General features: G+C 41.1%; 1 protein-coding gene across 9 annotated transcripts in view, besides 4 other annotated features; it reads left to right on the top strand.

Annotated features, from left to right (window-relative positions):
* Positions 1-20,417, top strand: part of GOLGA1 (golgin A1) — a 69,769-nt gene that overhangs the window by 6,355 nt on the left and 42,997 nt on the right. For 2 of the 9 annotated variants that reach the window (XR_929766.2, NM_002077.4), the window contains exons 1-9: positions 606-718; positions 1,534-1,583; positions 2,823-3,112; positions 10,283-10,373; positions 12,399-12,473; positions 13,404-13,501; positions 14,948-14,980; positions 18,466-18,594; positions 19,797-19,966. Coding sequence is in view for 6 of the 9 variants with exons in the window: in NM_002077.4 (NP_002068.2) it covers positions 2,978-3,112; positions 10,283-10,373; positions 12,399-12,473; positions 13,404-13,501; positions 14,948-14,980; positions 18,466-18,594; positions 19,797-19,966 (731 nt within the window). In the remaining 3 variants the exon portion in view is untranslated. Of the gene's footprint in view, positions 1-605; positions 850-883; positions 1,324-1,533; positions 1,584-2,822; positions 3,113-10,282; positions 10,374-12,398; positions 12,474-13,403; positions 13,502-14,947; positions 14,981-18,465; positions 18,595-19,796; positions 19,967-20,417 lie in introns of those variants that run through there. The other 7 variants (XR_007061280.1, XM_005251929.5, XR_007061279.1 and 4 more) reach the window with 5 other exon arrangements.
* Positions 13-513: an enhancer, noted in NCBI's record as "H3K27ac hESC enhancer chr9:127703455-127703955 (GRCh37/hg19 assembly coordinates)". NCBI's record gives its function as "activates a minimal SCP1, AML or CMV promoter by ChIP-STARR-seq in primed H9 embryonic stem cells {active_cell/tissue: H9 hESC(primed)}" and the evidence as "EXISTENCE:reporter gene assay evidence [ECO:0000049][PMID:30033119]".
* Positions 172-231: a silencer, noted in NCBI's record as "silent region_20273". NCBI's record gives its function as "represses an Ori minimal core promoter by ATAC-STARR-seq in GM12878 lymphoblastoid cells {active_cell/tissue: GM12878}" and the evidence as "EXISTENCE:reporter gene assay evidence [ECO:0000049][PMID:35858748]".
* Positions 514-1,014: an enhancer, noted in NCBI's record as "H3K27ac hESC enhancer chr9:127702954-127703454 (GRCh37/hg19 assembly coordinates)". NCBI's record gives its function as "activates a minimal SCP1, AML or CMV promoter by ChIP-STARR-seq in primed H9 embryonic stem cells {active_cell/tissue: H9 hESC(primed)}" and the evidence as "EXISTENCE:reporter gene assay evidence [ECO:0000049][PMID:30033119]".
* Positions 562-931: a silencer, noted in NCBI's record as "silent region_20272". NCBI's record gives its function as "represses an Ori minimal core promoter by ATAC-STARR-seq in GM12878 lymphoblastoid cells {active_cell/tissue: GM12878}" and the evidence as "EXISTENCE:reporter gene assay evidence [ECO:0000049][PMID:35858748]".

The following is a 20,417-nucleotide window of genomic DNA, read 5'->3' as shown; positions in this document are numbered from 1 at the left end:
GAACGTGGTTCTGCTGGACGTTATGTACTCGGTTGCGATATAAAACGCATCATCTACAGTAGGTGACAGGCGCCAAAGTCTAAAAACTGGTCTCAAGGTGTAAGGTCCCAGGACTAGTTTCTGGAGCTACTGGCTTGTGAGTGAAGCTGGAGGCGCAGACTTCCCGGGTCACACGGTGGCAAGGCAGCTGCCTAGGGTGCGGCGGGACCGGGCGGCGCGGGGGGGCGCCTGGCCAAGCAGTGCAGCCCCGGCCGGGTTTGTAGCCAGCACAGCACAGCGGGGCCTGTGGCACCGACTGGGTTCTTTTACTTTTGACACGAAGCCCCTCCCACTTACCACGCTCTGCACGCGCCCCTGTTAAAATAGAAAAAGACCGAGAGGCCTCGGAGACTCAGTCATCATCTGTGGCTCTGGCCGCTCGCTGACGTGGCGAACTGGGCTGAGGGAGCGCCCGGCTGGGCACCCGAGAACTCCAGCCGTTCCGGCCCAGTCGCCGCTCAGAGGTGGTAACAGTAGCCGCCAAGGCCGCGCACGGGCGCATGCGCGCGTCGGACCAACCCCCTCCCCCCACCGCGCAGTCACTTCCGGCGCGCTGGGAGACGTGCGGTTCCGGGTCGCTGCTCGGCTCGCCGGCTGGGCGGTGGGGGTTGGTGACGCGGGCCGGGGCTCACGAGAGGCCCGGGAGGCGGGGCTTTGCTGGCTTCCCAGAGAGAGGCAGGTGCGCGGGCCAGGACTCCGGGAATGCGAGCAGGCCCCTTATTCTCCCAGTGGCCTCGGTCTGTCCCCACAGCGGCCCGGTCAGGGTTGCCCGAGCCCCAAGGCGGGGGGCGGCACCGGGGTGCTGAAAGGGTGAGAGTGGGGGCGGAGGCGGGCTGCCCCGGCCTGGGAGTCTGGAGCCTAGGGTTCCGGGATTCCTCCCTGCGCGACCTTGGACAAGTCGCTCCTCCTCTCTAGGGCTCAGTTTCCTTGCTGTCAAATGGGAGAGATGTTGGATCCTTCCTTTCTTTGACAGTCCAAAGCACGGGCGGGGCTGGAGGTAGCCTGAGGGAGTGAGATCCAAACTGCCGTGGCAGGCACCTGCCTGCCTCCCTGGGGGTTAGACATCTGTCTTTACCCAATTTTGCCTTGCTTTTTGTCAGTGCACATCCGTGACCAGACGCCCAGGGTCTGGCCGGGTAAACAGTATGTGAGTGTAGTAATCAACTGAGAAATAAATACTGGCTCCAGGAAAACTTAACCTCATTCAAATTGTTTTGCTCAGGGCTCCCAGGGAGAAGTGAATTTAGGCACCCGCTGCGGTGATCAATTCTGTTCTATGCGCTTGTAAGTGAAGCTCTTAGGCAAAAAACAATTTCATAGGAGATCAGGGTTAGGGAGGGTATCCCATTGAGAGTTGTGACAGGTTTTCTTACCCCCTTTAATCCTTCTTCTGCCCCTCCTCTTCCTTCACTTCTTCCCCCTATCCCCACCCAACATTTTGGCCATACACTTGAAAAGAAATACCCAATGCATTTTATCTTTGTCTTCATGCAGGACAGAATGCTTTGACCTCCAAGCTGTTTTAAATCTAGTAGATAAGCCAGGTGAGTAAGTGGTTTACACACATTGAAAGTAAAGTTTCTGAAGAATTGTACAGCCTTAATGGAGGATCTGAAGTGGTAAGATGGCATTTGTGTATCTCAGAGCAGAGCTTAGGTATCCTCCACAAAACATGGAAAGTTAAGGTTGGAACCAGAATATTAGTGTTTTATACACCATTAGGAGGAAAAGGTTTTTGAATCTTACTTTGAATATCATGTCAAACATTCTTAAGAAAAGAAACTGTGAGGCCGGGCGCAGTGGCTTATGCCTGTAATCCCAGCACTTTGGGAGGCCAATGCAGGTGGATCATCTGAGGTCAAGAGTTTGAGACCAGCCTGACCAACACGGAGAAACCTCGTCTCTACTAAAAATATAAAATAAGCCGGGCATAGTGGCGCATTCCTGTAATCCCAGCTACTCGGGAGGCTGAGGCAGGAGAATCGCTTGAACCCAGGAGGTGGAGGTTGCGGTGAGCCGAGATAGTGCCATTGCATTCCAGCTTAGGCAACAAGAGCGAAACTCCATCTCAAAAAAAAAAAAAAAAAAAAAAAAAAAAAGAAAGAAAGAAAATAAACTCATTGGAGGTAATTTTATCAAACTCAAAACCACACAGCGTCTCTAGAAAATGTTCAAGGATATCAGATACTTATATAATAGAGTTGTCTGGTGTGTCTTCTTTTTTCTGTTACCAGCTTTTCCTATTGGACAGTTGATTGCAAACCATCCTGAAACAGTAGGATATTACACCTTTTACATATTGAATTACATATTGAATATTGAATTACATATGAATTGAATTACATGCATTTTTGTCTTCAACTTAAAGAACACTAAACTGTAGTTAAGCTTATTGGAGGAAGGATTTGAAATCATTAAGTCATGAATATATGATGTTGATGTCTGCTCTGGGACATTTTACCAAGTGTGTTATATGTCATAGCCAACATGTAATTAAAAAAAAAAAACGTAGAGATTTGTGAATCAGAGTCCTCTGTTCAAATACCAGCCCTTCCACTTAGCCACACAATCTTTGGTAGGTTACTTCATCTTCTTGAGACTGGGTTTCTTCATCTGTATATGCATATGAAGCACCTGAGTGCTTTTTAAATGTTTAGTAATTGTGTTCTATAAGTGTACATGTAAGTTATGAAACTTAGTTTTGAAATCTAAAACTTAACAACTCAGATGCGAAATCTTTCCAATGTTTAACTTTTGAACTGTCTCTTTCATCTGATTTGTAGATCCTGTGTTGCCATAAGCCCTTGGCCCACATTTAAGTGGGAATGCAGCTAGCTTGGATGTCTGAAACTTTGTAGGCGCCTCTGTCTGAATCCTGAACACAGGCACCAGGACTACTGAGAGCTCGTCATCTGTGCAGGATAGCCACACAGCAAACATGTTTGCAAAACTGAAGAAGAAAATTGCAGAAGAGACTGCTGTTGCTCAGAGGCCAGGAGGTGCTACTAGGATCCCACGGTCTGTGAGCAAGGAATCAGTTGCCTCAATGGGAGCTGACTCAGGAGATGACTTTGTAAGTACCTTTACTTAAGAAATAAAGATACTTTTGCAGGGTATTCTTCCAATAAATATTTTAAATTGCTTGATTATTTCATACCTTTCATGGTTTATAGCTGTACAAGAGCCTGTACATCTGATTCTTCTTACTCTGAGGTACCTTTTTGTTAATGTTTGGTTTGTAAATGTTAAGGTACTCTATATTTTTTTCCTTATTTTTCTGTGAGTTCCTCTCCATATTCTCTCCAGTGTCCTCTTGTACTGTTTTTCCGTCTATATACCTTATACATCTTCTTTTGCATTTCATTTCTGAAAATGTCTGGGCCTGTTTTCATTGCAGACATATATACTTATATAACAACTAAGTCATTGCTGCTTAACAAGGTCTCTGAGTTGTGGTATGGGGTTAGCAAGAGTGCATTGTTGTATTGGGACGATTGTTGGAAAGATGGCCCCAGTGATTACAGTATGTTGCTTTTTTTCTTTTTTCTTTCTTTTTTTTTTTTTTTTGAGATGGATTCTCGCTCTGTAGCCCAAAGTGGAGTGCAGTGGCCTGATCTTGGTTCACCACAACCTCTGCCTCTGGGGCTCAAGCAATTCTCGTGCCTCAGCCTCCCGAGTAGCTGGGACTACAGGTGTGTTCCACCATGCCTGGCTAATTTTTTGTATTTTAGTAGAGACAGGTTTTTACCATGTTGCCCAGGGTGGTCTCAAACTCCTGAGCTCAGGCGATCCGCCCACCTTGGCCTCCCAAAGTGCTGGGATTACAGGCGTGAGCCACCATGCCCAGCCTACAATATGTTTCTTATTAGTAAAATACATTTGTGACTATAAGATTTCAAAAAATGAAGATGTTGCTATATGAGGGAAATGTCATGCTTAAAAAATAAAGTGTGGCTTTTGCATATGACAGGATCCTCTTAAGTTAGATAAATTTCTTTTCTCTTCTTTTTTTTTTTTTTGAGACAGAGTCTCACTCTGTCAGCCAGGCCGGAGTGCAGTGGCATGATCTCAGCTCATTGCATCCTCCACCTCCCGGGTTCAAGCAGTTCTCCTGCCTCAGCCTCCCAAGTAGCTGGGACTGCAGGTGCCCACGACCACACCCGGCTAATTTTTTTTTGTTTTTAGTTTATTGTTTTTGAGATAGGGTCTCGCTCTGTCACCTAGGGTGGAGTGCAGCAGCACAATCTCGGCTCACTGCAACCTCCATCTCCCGGGTTCAGGCGATTCTCCTGCCTCAGCCTCCTGAGTAGCTTGGGACTACAGGCACCCGCCACCACGTCCAGCTAATTTTTGTATTTTTAGTAGAGACAGAGTTTCACTGTGTTGGCCAGGCTGGTCTGGAACTCCTGACCTCGTGATCCTCCCGCGTCGGTCTCCCAAAGTGCTAGGATTACAGGGGTGAGCCACCACACTTGGCAATAAATTTCTTTAAAACTCATTTATAATGCTGGATATATATATAAAAGAATGTATGTAATATATATGTAAAGTATAAAGCATAAAGTAAATCTATCACTCATCTGAAGAGATAGAACACTATCAATTCTGTTAAGCCACTTATATGTTTCTTCCAATTTCCTCTACCCAATTTAGGATAGCATAACCACTATTCTAAATTTTGTATTTTTCATTTACTTGCTTTTTAAAATATCTTACCAGATATGTATGTATTCATAAACAATTTATTATTTAATACTGCTTGTTTTTGAAGTTATAAAAGTTGCACACTGTAGACTTCTTGGATTTCCTTTTTTAAAATTTAATTCAACATGCTTATAAAATGCATCCATGTTACAGGAAGCTGTGGTTCATTTATTTTTACTGCTGTATAAGATTCCAGGCTGGACACAGAAGCTCACGCCTGTAATCCCAATGCTTTGGGAAGCTAAGGCGGAAGGACTGCTTGAGGCCAGAAGTTCAAGACCAGCTTGGGCAACATAGCAAGACTGCATATCTACAAAAGTTTTTTTTTTTTTTTTTAATTTGCCTGGTTGGTGGTGGTATGCCTGTAGTCCTAGCTTCTTGGGAGGCAGAGGCAAGAGGATCGCTTGAGCCCAGGAGTTTGGGATTGTAGTGAGCTATGATCGTGCCACTGTACTCCAGCTTAGGCAACAGAGCAAGACTCTGTCTCTAAAGATTTTTTTTAAAAAAAAGATCCCAGCATTTGAAAAGGCCACATTTAATGTCTGTCTTCTCCTGGCGATAGACATTTGAATTGTTTCCGTTGTCAGATGAGTCTTCCTCCTGCTTTCTTGTACTGCCTGGATCCCAGGTCAGATTACATGGCAGAAGTTATTAGGTTATCGGGATGGAGCAATAAGATTACCAGATCTACATTATCACTGGCTCCTATATTTAAGAGGAAATATAAGCACACATTTGAGCATCGGGCTGAAGGATGTAGTTTTAAGGCTGGGTTCTGTGACAGATGGACCTGTTTTGCCTTCATGCTGACACCCTAAATGAAGTCTTTTATTTAGTAATGTATTCCAAATACAGAGATTGACCCAGATTCAGGAAGTAATTTATTTTGGGGTTTCTCAAGTTTTGAACTTAATACAGCCTGATCCTCAGTTCCTATCTCCAGACCCTTATATCCAACTGCATATGTTTCTCCAAACAGATCCCTCCTCTGTGGCATCTCAAATTCTAAATGAACAAAATTGAATTCATTATTTCCATCTCCAAATGTGCACCTTCATCTTCCCAAGTCACCAGCCAGAAACCCTGGAGGTATTTTAGGCTCTTCCCTCCTTTCACTTCTTGGTGTCCAATCAGTCAACACGTATTATGGCTTCTATTTCTTTCTTTTTTTTTTTTTTTTTTGGAGACAGAGTCTTGCTGTGTCGCCCAGGCTGGACCCTGGGTTCAAGCAATTCTCCTGCCTCACTCAGCCTCCCAAGTAGCTGGGACTACAGGCACACACCGCCACACTTGGCTAGTTTTTTGTATTTTTAGTAGAGATGAGGTTTCACCGTGTGCCCAGTCTGGTCTTGAACTCCTGAGTTCAGGCAATCCTCTTGCCTTGGCCTCCCAAAGTGCTAGGATTACAGGCAGCTTTCATTTCTTAAATGTCTCAAACTTGCCTCCCTACTCCATCTTCTAGTAGTACATTTACTAGCAGAGGTTAAGCATCCCTAATCTGAAAATTTGAAATCTGAAATACTCCAAAATCTTAAACTTTTTGAGCGCCAACATGGCCACAAGTGGAAAATTTACACATAAATACTTAACACAACTTTGTTTAATGCATATCATTTAAAATATTGTATAAAATTATGTTCAGGCTATGTGTATAAAACGTATATGGAACATAATTTCACGTTTACACTTGGGTCCCATCCCCAAAATATTATATTATGTATATGCAGACATTCCAAAATCTGAAAAAATCCAAACTCCAAAACACTTCTGATCCTAAACTGTTTGGGCAAGAGATACTCAACCTATACTATCATTTGATTTCAAGCTGCCTTTCTTTCTGGGACAAACTTGTAGTCTATCTGGGTTCCCTGTCCCCAAAGTGACCTTTTTTTTTCTTTGAGACAGGGATCTCTTTCTGGCACCCAGGCTGGAGTGCAGTGGCCCGATCACAGCCCACTGCAGCCTTAACCTCCTGGGCTCAAGCGATTCTCCCATTTCAGCCTCGTGAGTAGTTGGGACTACAGGCACGTGCCGCCACACCCAGCTAATTTTTGTATTTTTTGTAGCGACGGAGTTTTGCCATGTTGCTTAGGCTGGTCTCGAACTCCTGGGCTCAAACGATCTGCCCACCTTGGCCTCCCAAAGTACTGGGACTGCAGGTGCTAGCCACTGTGCACAGCCCAAAGTGATCTTTCTAAAAGCAGATCTGTTCATGTCTCTCCAGTACTTAAAACTCATAAAACTCAGTGGCTTCCCCATTATTTTCAGGATGAAGTACAGACTCATTATTATAGCATAATGGTAAACTGTCATGGTCTTCTCTCAGCTTATATGGCCAGCATTATCTCACTGTACTTTGCTACACCCTGTGCCACAGCCAGACTGAATTTATTGCACTTTCTAGAATGGACCACATTCTTTCATGCTTACAATTTTTGCACATGCTATTTCCTCTCTCTAGAATGTCTCATTTCCCCTTTCACTCCTGCATTCCTCTGACAGACTCTTGTGCATCTTAAGACTCAGCTCATGTGTTACTTCCAGCAAACTCCCTTGACCTGACCTTCTCCTCTGGCAGCCCCCTACCCTTTACCCCTCCTGGCTGTTTGGTGCCTTGTCTTCTGCTAACCTCTGTAATAGCACCTGCTGTACTGCATTATTATTGATGATTTGCTTGTTTGTCTCTTCCACTGAACTGGGAGTTTCATGAAAGACAATAAAGTGTAGCCCTTAGGAACTCAGGTCAGGTTATAGAGTCATATCTGCTCTATTATTATTATGTGACTTTGGGCAAATTTCTTCATTTTTCCTTGCCTTATTTTTCACATCTATAAAATGGGGATAGGAACTGTATCTACCTTTATTAAAGTATGTGTGTCAAGGATCCCCAAGATCATCCCCAGATTTAATTATTCACTAGGAGGACTCACAAGACTCACCATATAGTTTTACTCACTGCTATCATTTATTACAGTGAAAGGATCTAAAACAGACTCAGCAAAGGGAAAAGGTGCATGGGGAAAAGCTTGGAGGAAACAGGTGCAAGCTTCCAAGATTCTTCTCCCAGTGGAATTACATAGGACATGCTCCATTCTCCCAGCAATGAGTTGTGACAACACATGTAAAATGTCTACCAGGGAAGCTCATTAGAGACTCAGTGTCCAGGCTTTTTATTGGGGACTGGTCATGTGAACACCCTCTGCCTACTATGTATCAAAATTCCAGAATCCAGGCCAGGCAGGGTGGCTCACACCTGTAATCCCAGCACTTTGGGGGACCAAGGCAGATGGATCAGTTGAGGTCAGGAATTTGAGACCAGCCTGGCCAACATGGCGAAACCCTGTCTCTACTAAAAATACAAATATTAGCTGAGCATGGTGACACACACCTGTAGTCCCAGCTACTCAGGAGGCAGGAGAATCTCTTGAACCCAAGAGGCAGAGGTTACAGTGAGCCAACATTGTACCACTGCACTCCAGCCTGGGTGACAGAGCGAGACTCTGTCTAAATAAATAAATAAATAAATAAATAATCCAGACTCCAGAAGGAAACCAGGTATTCAGCATAAACCCATATTTTTGCACAAACATTTTAGGCACAATGAGCCATTCTTAACAGAATGATGGGAACCCTCCCAAAATCTAAGTTCCCAGATGCCAGCCAAGGACCAACCTTAAAAGCAGGCCTTTCTAAGGATAACAGTCTGAGGCCTGTAATGTCAGTTCTTCTGCGTAGAATCTAAAGCACTTAGCATGGCGTCTGGCTCTAAGCATTTCATAATTAGCTTCTGTTGCTGCTGCTGCTGTTATTTTGGATAGGAGCTCTTTGTTTCACCACTATTCCTAGTGCTTAGCACAGTAGTGAGACATAGGATGTCTCCTATGTCTCACTAACAGTAATAATCATAACAGCTTCTTATACTGCTAGTGGTGTGGTCTGAATGTATGTCTCCAAAAATTGATATGTTGAAACCTAATCACTAGAGTGATGGAATGAGGAGGTGAATCGTCTCCGAGATGATTAGCTCATGAGGGAGGAACCCTCATGAATGAGATTAGTGCTCTTACAAAAGAGGCCCCAGAAAGCTGCCTTGCCCCTTCCACCATGTGAGGGCACAGCTAGAAGGTGTCATGTATGAACCAGAAAGTGGGTCTTCACTAGACACCAAATCTGCTGGCACCTTAATTTTGGACTTCCTAGGCTCCAGAACTGTGAGAAATACATTTCTGTTGTTTATAAGTCACACATTCTATGGCATTTCATTATAGCACTCAAACAGACTAAGACAACTAGTAATAGATGACACATATTAAAGCTAATATGTGCCAGGCTGTGTTTTAGGGATTTGACAAGTATTGATTTACTTAATCCTCATCACAGCTCTGTGAGGCAAATGCTGTTTGTTATCACAGATTGCAAATGAGGAAACCAGTGCACAGAGAAGTTGAGTAATGAGCCTAAGTTCTTACAGCTCGTAAGTGGTAAAGCTGCAACCTGAAGCAAGGTTTTCTGACACCAGAGACTCTCCTCTTAACTGTCCACTGTCCTGACTCTCAGTACATATTGGATGGGCAAGTGGCTGGACATGTAGATGAATATTTGAGGTGAATTATTGAATAATCTTTAAAAACATTTTGGGGATACAATGGGAAACATGATTAAGGACTGGATGTTAGTATTTTTTGTTAGGAATGATAATCATATGTTGCCTATGAAGAGAAATAGCCTTAATTTTTGGAGTATTTAGGATGAAATGCCATGATGTCTGTTATTTAAATTACTTCAGAAAAATAAAAATTGATGAAGCAAATAAGGGAAAGCATCAGCAATTGTGAAAGTAGATGGAGAGCATTATTTAGACCAATCTCTCTCCCTTTCTATATTTTGAAAAATTGTATAATGAAAAGTAAAAGAGATTTTAAAAACTGAGTTATTAGCAATTGCAAGCAGTGCCTATAGCAATAGTAGTATTCATTTATTTTAAAATAATCTGGTTTGTTGGGGAAAAATGTATGCCTCATTAATATATTGGTTTGTTGAATGCATATTATCTGCTGAAGTCTATGATGCAAGTTAGAGTTTTAGATTGATATCCGTTTGTTTCATAGATGAAGATACTGAAACTTTATCAATATCGGTGAAAGATTCGTAGTCATAGACCAGCTTTTGATCCCTAAAGAACCCCCGCCTTCTTTATCCCAGGACTTTACTTTTGGAAAGATAAAGTGATTTTTTTATCATGGCAAATATAGTTTTTGTATTATATACTTGCTGTAATAATGGATCTATTTACTATTATTTATTTCAGTAGCATGCGTACACATAAAATTGATCTGTTTAGCATCTCCTCTCTCCTTCACTTTATAAGAGGAAGAAAGCGTTGCTTCCACTTTCCAGGTAGAGAAACTAGGCCCAGCTTTTCAGTGATTACAATTAATTAAAGTGTAACCAAACCTAAAATAAGACTTGTCACTTTCTGGCTCAGTATTGTGGTCTCACACATATATGAATACGACCTTCCTTGTGTCTACCTCAACAGGCTTCCGATGGAAGCAGCTCCAGAGAAGATCTTTCATCCCAGCTTCTGAGAAGGAATGAACAGATACGGAAGTTAGAGGCCAGACTTTCTGGTATGTCTAAGAACTCATAAAAAGCAAACAACAGGAAACTTGCCTTGCTTGACTCTCTTCCTATAAAATAGCCATATAGGATGACTTTATAGTTATTTTCACATATCATTTTGATCTTTTTAGAAAGGAGCAAGTATACCCTCTTCTTTTGTTAGTGTAGTAAATAGTATAAATTCAAAACTGAATTTGAAAGTTTATTAAAAAATTTTTTCTGCTCCTGAGGTTTCTAGCCATGGAAATAAAAGATAATAATAATATATGTACAATAGATTTGACCATCTTCCACCATTAGCATAGCCTGCTTTCAGGTGGAAAGGGATGGCGTTAGTATTTAAAGGGAATGGCCAACAGATATTGGATTCATCAGCACCAGAGATTGGTGCTGTGTTGCCACTTCCTGCAGCTCATACCACCTGTGTAAGTGTTGTTGTAGGTCTTTGGGCCACTTTTCAATGGTATTTCTGACTTCAGCACCTGCATAGAAGGTGTCACTCTCATTATGTCTTTTGTCTGCAGTTTACAATTTACACAGCTCCCATTATATCCTTTGCCTGAGGAGGGCATGGTCATGATAGAATTGTGAGTTATTATTTTGGTTTCTGCCAGTGGATACATTTGGAAAGCTTCATCCTGTAAAGTGGTTCATGGCTTCTGTGTCTCTTTTTGTCCCTTGGCCTTTTAATGCCCATTTTATTGGAGTAAAACAGCAGACCGAAGTTCACCAAGTGGTATGTGAAATATTTATATTTGTGTAGCTATCAGACCCAAATTCACCAAATTGTATGTGAAGTATTTGTATTTATGTAGTTATCAAAGGTTCATAGCATAGCTCACAACTACCAGTTAATTATTTTGTCCTCACTAGAGCCTTATTAGGCTTAGCAAGGTTAAGGCCTCACAAGTAGTAAGTGGTAGAGCTGGGATCCAAACCCAGATTTATTTGATGCTAGAGTCTTAATTCCATCTGCCTTAAACTTAATTGTTGCTATCCTGTTACTCCTACCCATAAATAATATCAGTAACAGAGGTAAAGTAATTTTACATTTGTTTAATGTTGGAGAGAGAGTTATAAAATAATATATATACCTTCCCCATATGGTAGGAAGAATAGTTGAGCTTGACTTACGTTAGAGAAGGGACAGGGAAGAGCACTGACATTTACTGGGCCCACTATGTGGTGAGTATTGTCCTACAGTATTAGTATGAGTAATGATAATAGTCACAGTAACAATAAGAGCTACATTTTATTGAGCACTGTGTGCAAAGCACTTAAGGCACGTAAAATGTTTTATCTAATGCATCTTTTGTGGTAGGTACAATTAATATCATCATTTAATATATGAAGAAACTAATACTACAGGACCAATAATTTGCTTAAGGTCCCCAGCTAAGGACTGACAGAGTTGGGATTTGAGCTACTATGTTTTCACTAAACCATAACTATCTTCTTTGGCCACCTAGATAATTAATTCTGACATTCACATTTAATGTAGCGTAGGTTACCAAGTTCCTGTGTAGAAAGGGAGCTCACTTTTTTAGAGAATTAAGTGCTATCACTATAAAGACAATGCTGCACCTAAGGTGTTTGTTATTGCCCTAACTACTGTTCCTGAGTTGTGTGGACTATAAGCGAGCTGTTTAGTGAGTTCACTTTGATCTATCCTACTGCTAAGACCGGAAAAGGAAGTGGAAACTGAGATTTGAAATTAAGTCATGAGATAAATCTGTGTTTTTCATAGCAGGACATTTCTGATCACCAGGCTAAGCCTAATTCTTGTTTTTCTATCAAGGCTAAACAAACTTGCCTTTTTGTACTCACCATTTATACACCATGGATAGTTTGTACTATACTTGTTTTCCTGTGTTGTTCATTGTTAATGGGAGGCTGTCTGTCTAGCTTTCCTTAACAGGAATGGTTTTCAGGTTAAGAAAATCATCATCATTTCCATTCATTTTTTTGTTTAATTAACTTCCTTTCCTGATGTTTGTCCATTTCTGGTATGTGCGTCACCCTCCTCACCCAAGACTATGCTGAACAGGTCCGAAACTTGCAGAAGATAAAAGAGAAGCTTGAAATTGCATTAGAAAAACACCAGGATTGTACGTATTTTTTTCCTGCTTTTTTCAATCTTTTCAAGGTTTAGTTTTTGAAATGAAACAATAGTGTATGGTTAAGTTTGTCCTTCTTCAAAGCACAAATCTTTATTTTATAAGTAGTGTACTTCTTAATCAGGTTGATATAACATTTGGATGATATTTATAAGTATGCAAGTTTTATTTATGTTGGCTTATGGGCATGACTCTTAGGAGTAGGTCATTATGTGTATCAGCTTGTCTCTATCCAGTTGACCCCTTTATTTAGGCTACCCTCAGGTTTTAATAAAATCTAGTACCCATCCCTTAGGTCTGGATTAGGAAATGGGTTCTCACCACAGCTTCATTACTGCTGTGTTGAGTAACTGGGAGAAATCCCTGTCATCACTCCCTCAGCAATAAATCATACATTTTGTGTAGTCTACCCTCAATCATATATTCTTTGGGTACCATCCAAGAAAGATGTTAGTAGAAGTAGAAAGTTATTTTTTTTGTTGATATGTACTAAAACTTTTAAGGAAAATAAAGTAAAAGAAAGGTTTTTTGTTTGTTTTGATTTTTCTTTTTGTTTTTAATTCTGATAAAGTGGTAGTAGCCATCACTTAGCATCAGCTTTGATGTTTTCTGGCAACCTACCTAACTCAGTGTTCTATCATTGTACCATTTAAAAAGTTACCTTTTGGCATCTTTGTAAATATATATACTTGTCTATTACAAAAAACAAAAACGATAAGGAAACAAACAAAAACTGTGGTCTATTACCAAGGCCAAAATATTCTTCTGGAAAGTTGAGGTGGATCCAGCTTTTCCTAGTATCACAATCCACTTATGTGACTTTGGCCTTTTTCATTAGGTGACAGTTGTAATCACATGGGCTATTTGTCATGCTGTTTCTGAAGTGTTTTCATATCTCAAATAGAGCCTCTTTGTTAACAGCTTCCATGCGGAAATTTCAAGAGCAGAATGAGACATTCCAAGCCAACAGAGCCAAAATGGCAGAAGGACTGGCTTTGGCATTAGCCAGAAAGGACCAGGTATTTTATATGTGGCACTGCCCAGAACTGGTGGAAAGATTTCACTTAGTGACGTGATTTCAAAAATCATGACATAACCTATAGAAAATATTTATAGCCTAGGAGAAGAGAAATGTTAAAAGTTCGTTAAGGTTTTCTTTGGCCTTTTCTTGTAAAGTGAAGAAACTTTACAGTTCTAATCATGAAATGTGTCCAGAATGTGAGAGTATCATTCCTTGTATCTGTGTAGTTTCATAAAATTGAGAAGGGAAATAGTGTATCTGTAATCTGATGGCAGGCCCCAAAATAAGAGAAAAGGTCTCTCCCCTCTAAAAACCTCTCTGAAAGTCTAACCCCCAAACATTTGCCTTTTATCCTGGAGAAGATGTTATTAACTTAGTCATAATCCATAGTATACAGAGTTCTTCCAACCTCTGTTCCCACGTTTCTTCAATCCCAACCAGCAGGACAGAGGGGAAATCCTATAATCTCAGCAGAACCAACCACTGGAAGATGCTGAATGAATAACCACAAGGAAGGAAAATAATTCTGTTACTGGCTATTACAGTAATTATGAAGTATATTTTGTTCAAAATAATAGATGACATTTTAAATTTAAGATAAGCATCAATATATTATAATGTTAATTTTGATTTATTAAGACAGAGTTTATTATGTTTCACTTAAGAAATTGTATAATTTATTTCATCTGGAGGAGGTGGGTTGGTTGGTTGGTTTTAAAGTGTCTGTTCATCATCTAGGACATTTACTAGCCAGAAAAAATACAATTTACCAATACTTAGTGGATAACTGTGGTATGAATGTATATAAATGAAGAAATAATCTAAAATTGATGGATTCTGATTATAGGCAATCAGGATATTGCCTTTGTGCAAATGGGCTTTTTTTCCCACTATTTTATGGTTTGTGAATAAGGGGCATAATTCTTTTTCTTTTGACTTACACAGATGGCATAAAGCATGTTGGTAAAATCAAAATGAAAAGGAAAATGATTATCAGGGACTGCAAAAGATCCCCCCTACTCCCCCAGTTTCAGGAATTAATTTCTAAACATCATTTCCAGAATTACTCAACTCAGCTGGTCCCAGCTACCCACTCCCAAGAAATAACAGTACTCATGGCAAAACTCCCAGGAACAAGCCAAAAAGCTGCATCAGAACAGCAGATACAGCTTTTCTTGGGTGCCCTGCTTAGTAAAAATCTGCAGGCTTATATTCATGAATTCATTCCATTCTAGAATCTTAGATAAAGTTCATTTTCTTCTATTTTTGTGACTCTTGCCTTTCTTAATATTAAACCAAGTTTATAGATTTTTTTTTAATTGGCTTTTTTGTTTTGTTTGGTTAGTTGCTTTCTGGGAAGAGTTGGGTTGTTTTGTTTTCTGAAAATCTTGGTATTACAGATACTCTTCACTGGAAACCATACTTTTTTATTGTTTTGTTTTAGGAATGGTCAGAAAAGATGGATCAGCTTGAAAAGGTTAGTTCATCTTTATTTTTGTCTCATTTTTGTTGGTCTCGTCTCTGGGGTATGGAAAACGTTTTATCCGGTAACCAACATACTGATTGCTATACCACCTCTTGGAAGCAGGACAGTTTATGATTAGATACTGACTTGAAAAGCTCTGATCCTCCCCTTTTTTGGTGAATGTGCAGGATGTCTTTTGTTTGCCCCTCTTGATATACTCTGCACTCCTCCTCTCTTCCCTTTCTCTGTGTACCTGAACGCCGATAGAAACTGTATCAGCAGGGCTCAGAATGCCCTCTGGCATCCGGTTGGGTTCAGCCAGTGGGGAACCCTGAAAGAACCATGTGTGAAAGAAGATGTGGTCAGGATGTTTCTTCCCCCACCTTTCTCCATGTGGGCTCTCTTCAGCTTAGTTGCATCCCATGGCCAAAGTCACAGCTTCAGTTGGACCTTTGGTTTGCCTTCTTGACATAGTTTTTGTCTCTCTGGGTTTCCTATAACCTCTTCATCTTTTTGCCTCTTTATGGCCAACTGTTGCCAGCACATTATCTTTTGGGCTATCTTACCCATCCCACAGCTTTGATAAGCCCCTTTATTAAACCATCCTCAAAATGCCTGATTTGAGATGGCCGTCTCTTTCCTGCTGCGGTTCTGATTGACACGTGGTAATATTAGGAACACTTAAAGATGAAGCAGTGGGGAAGGAAGGCATTTCTCAAGGCTCAGCATTGAACATATATGAGAACCTCTTGGCTAGATGTAGATGAGGAAATTGATTATTCTAGTACCATTGCTTGCATAACACCGTACAGGTACCTTAAGTAATATATTCCTGGCTCCCACATATAAACGAGATGAAATTTCAAGTCTACAATTGGAAAAACATTTTAGTTTTAAAATAATCATTAGTGTCAACTATTTTTTTTCCATAAAACACCAAGTTAACTTTACTTTCTGTTCTATAGAAATCTGATTATCAAGCTGAGAGAATACATTAACTTTTTTTGAGACAAGGGGTTGTTCTGTTGCCCAGGCTGGGAGTGGCACAATCACAGCTCAGTGCAGCCTCAACCTCCTGGGCTCAAATGATTTTCCCACCTAGACTTCCTGAGTAGCCAGGACTGCAGGCTTGAGCCACAGTGCCCAGCTAATTTTTAAAAAAATTTTAATAGAGATGAGGTCTCACTGTGTTGCCCAGGCTGGTTTTGAACTCCTAGACCAAAGTGATCCTCCTGCCTGGCCTCCCAAAGTGCTAGGATTACAGTCGTGAGCCACTGTGCCTGGCAACAGTTTTATATAAGGAAAGAATTATAGAAAAGTCAAGTCCCAAGGAAACCTGTGCTTGAAAAAAAAAAAAAAAATCCTCAACCATATGCTATTAATGACAGTCTTCTTAAATATGGAGATATGGGTTGGGTTAAGGTTTTCTTGCTGTAAAAGAAACTCTTAAGATTATGGCAATTGAAATTCTCATTGAACTGTTTTTTTATCTTTTAAAATTTTGGTAAAGGGTATCCATATAGGACTGAACCAACTAAAAAACCTACTTAGGTTCACAAGGTTCACAAAGGGAATTTTCTCTTTGTTTTGTTTTTGTTCTTTTGAAGGAGAGGTTGGGGAAAATTTTTCTTTTTTTTTTTTGAGACGGAGTCTTGCTCTGTCGCCCAGGCTGGAGTACAGTGGCATGATCTTGGCTCACTGCAAGCTCTGCCTCCCGGGTTTACTCCATTCTCCTGCCTCAGCCTCCCAAGTAGCTGGGACTACAGGCACCCGCCACCACACCTGGCTAATTTTTTTATATTTTTAGTAGAGACAGGGTTTCACTGTGTTAGCCAGGATGGTCTCGATCTCCTGACCTCGTGATCTGTCTGCCTCGGCCTCCCAAAGTGCTGGGATTACAGGTGTGAGAGGTTGGGGAAATTTTCTAGAGTAGGAAATAGTAATGAGACACCTATATAGGTCTTCGAAGCTACTTTTCATCGTTAAAGTTTTTTTTTTTTTTTTCAGTCAAGAGTTAGAAACTGTAACAGAAGGGTTAGTCCTTAAGAGAGTCCTTTTTTCTTTTTTTCTTTTTTTTTTTTTTTGAGACAGGGTCTCACCACGATGCCCAGGCTGGAGTGTAGTGCAGTGGCACAGTCATAGCTCACTGCAGCCTCGACTTCTCAGGCTCAGGTGATTCTCCCACCTCAGCCTCCTGAGTAGCTGGGATTACAAGCACATGCCACCATGCCTGGCTAATTTTTTTGTATTTTTTATAGAGATGGGGTTTCACCATGTTGCGCAGGCTGGTCTCCAACTCCTGTGCTCAACCGATAGGCCCACCTTGGCCTCCCAAAGTGCTGGGATTAGAGGCAAGAGTCCACTGCTAGAAATGATCATTTAATAAATTGTAACCTGCTGACACCAGTCATGTCTAATTTTTTTTTCTTTTTTTTAGCTTGTTAACTGAAATCAGTTCTACTTTTAATCTACGTGCATTTAATTTTTTTCAGGCATTCAATCTTACTGGTTACTCATGTTTTTCAGCCAGTTCAGTGTGTCACTAAGAATAGACATGTAAAATAAGGCTGGGCACAGTGGCTTACGCCTGTAATCCCAGCACTTTGGGAAGCAGAGGTGGGTGGATCACCTGAAGTCAGGAGTTCGAGACCAGCCTGGCAAACATGGTGAAACCTCATCTCTGCTAAAAGTAGAAAAATTAGCCGGGCATGGTGGTGCATGCCTGTAGTCTCAGGTACTCAGGAAGCTGAGGCATGAAAATCACTTCAACCTGGGAGGCAGAGGATGCAGTAAGCTGAGATCTCACCACTGCAAACCAACCTGGGCAACAGAGTGAGACTCTGTGTCAAAAAACAAACAACAACGACGAAAGAGTAGACACATAAAATATATATCTGGACTTGCTAAACAGATGTAAGAACTTTAAAGTTCTACATAGGCCATGCACGATGGCTCATATCTATCAACACTTTGAGAGGCTGAGGCAGGAGAATGTCTTGAGGCCAGGAGTTCAAGATCAGCCTGGATAACAGAGCAAGATCCTGTCTCTACCAAAAAAAAAAAAAAGTTCTACGTAATTGTTGCTTTTATTCCCCTTTTTCACAATTATTTAAAACACATTTATTTTTAAATAAAGAATTAAATTCTCTAGTTAAAGGATTAATTCAATTAAAGAATTTGTAAATAATGCCATATTTCTGTAATGCTTTCCATTATCAATGCATCATTGTCCACTGGCATGAGATTTCCTGAAGATTTTTCCTTTATTAAGAATTCCACTTTCAGGCCGGGTGTGGTGGCTCATGTCTGTAATCTTAGCACTTTGGGAGGCCAAGGCGGGAGGATTGCATGAGCCCAGGAGTTCAAGGCCAGCCTGGGCAACTAGTGAGACTCTGTCTCTAAAGACAAAAATTTTAAAAAAGAAAAGATTTTCACTTTCGTAATACAGATTTCTAATGCTTTCGTTGCCTGAGTTGATGTCTTCTTCTTTCAAATAGGAGAAAAATATTCTGACAGCCCAGTTACAGGAAATGAAGAACCAGAGTATGAATCTTTTCCAAAGGAGAGATGAAATGGATGAATTAGAGGGGTTCCAGCAGCAGGAACTAAGTAAAATAAAGCACATGGTATGCATTTTTGTTTTAGTAGCTAAATACTGAATAGATGATTATTCACTCTGATTTTACTAGTCATCACTCTCTAATTGCTGATAAACATACACCAGTAATATGTGATATTAATCATATTTGATATTAATCATATTTGTATGTTTTTAAATTTATTAAAATAGAAAAGTTCTGTTTAAAATGTTCTTTTTCTGTTTTGTTTTGGGTTTTGTTTTGTTTTGTTTTGTTTTGTTTTTAACTACTGGGTATATAAATTCTCTTATAAGCCCACAAAAATGTTATAGAAATTTGGCTATTGGTCCACATTTTTTTTTTTAAATAGATGGAGTCTCACGGTGTTGCCCAGGCTGGAGTATAATGGCTACTCACAGGTGCGATCATAGCACACTGCAGCCTCAAATTCGTGGGCTCAAGCTGTCCTCCCACTTTAGCCTCCCAAGTAACTGGAACTGTAAGCATGTACTGTAGGTGTGTGCCACCATGCCTGACAAGCTTAGATTTTTTTTTTTCTTTCCTTTCTTTCTTTCTTTTTTTTTTTTTTTTTGAGATAGAGTCTCACTCTGTCACCCAAGCTGGAGTGCAGTGGCATGATCATGGCCCACTGCAGCCTCGACCTCCCAGACTCAAGGGATTCTTCCACCTAAGCCTCCCGAGTAGCTGGGACTACAGGCGCACTACCATGCCCGGCTAATTTTTGTATTTTTTGTAGAGGTGGTGTTTCGCCATGTTACCCAGGCTGCTCTCAAACTCCTGGGCTTAAACGATATGCATGCCTCAACCTCCCAAAATGGTGGGATTACAGGCGTGAGCCACCGTATCCAGCCGAGATTTAAGTGTATTTTTCTTTTTTACTTCTTTTTTTTTTTTGAGATGGAGCCTAGCTCTGTCACCCAGGCTGGAGTGCAGTGGCGCGATCTTGGCTAATTGCAACCTCCACCTCCCGGGTTCAAGTGATTCTCCCGCCTCAGCCTCCCGAGTAGCTGGGATTACAGGCACCCGCCACCACGCCCGGCTAATGTTTGTATTTTTAGTAGAGATAGGGTTTTGCCATGTCAGCAAGGCTGGTCTCAAACTCCTGACCTCAAGTGATCCACCTGCCTCAGCCTCCCAAAGTGTTGGGATTACAGGCGTGAGCCAGCATGCCTGATCTTAAGTGTATTTTTCTTAGCATAGCCCAATGAAACTTTGTATTTTTGTGTCAGCTTTTAAAAAAAGAAGAAAGTCTAGGGAAAATGGAACAAGAATTGGAGGCACGAACCAGAGAACTTAGTCGTACCCAGGAGGAGTTGATGAACTCCAATCAGATGTCATCAGACTTAAGCCAGAAGCTAGAAGAATTGCAGAGACACTACTCAACGCTGGAAGAGCAGAGGTTCTTGCTTGGTCTGTGGGGCCCTTGGGAAGAGGTGTTAGTGTAGTTCTGGCTATAGCCTGCCCACCTTTCCCCATTGTTCATTACACCACTTTCTGATTCCGGTGCTGGCAAAGGCTTCTGGACACATCCTTACCTGCCTAGGACTCAGGCCTCACCCTACCTCCAACCCATTTTCCCCTTCAGCTGCTGAAACTCAGGACAGTTCCACCCTGCTGAACAATTCAGTGTGGTTTTAGTTTGTAAAGTATTAATAGACTAAGGAAAGGCAGGTCAGGATTTCTTTCTTAAACTAGGGTGGACTTTTTCTCTTTGGGCTCCTGCTTCAGAGAGAGCCGAGGCTTTTTCCGTTGAAAACCTGCATGTGGCTAATGATGCTTGTAGCCCTGACACAGAAGAAACCATTTGTATTTTTCCTGCAGAAGACTGTATATTAGATGAGATATCCAAA

Source organism: Homo sapiens, chromosome 9, assembly GCF_000001405.40.
Source record: "Homo sapiens chromosome 9, GRCh38.p14 Primary Assembly".
Classification (NCBI taxonomy): Eukaryota; Metazoa; Chordata; class Mammalia; order Primates; family Hominidae; genus Homo; species Homo sapiens.
This window is presented reverse-complemented; position numbering and strand designations above follow the sequence as displayed.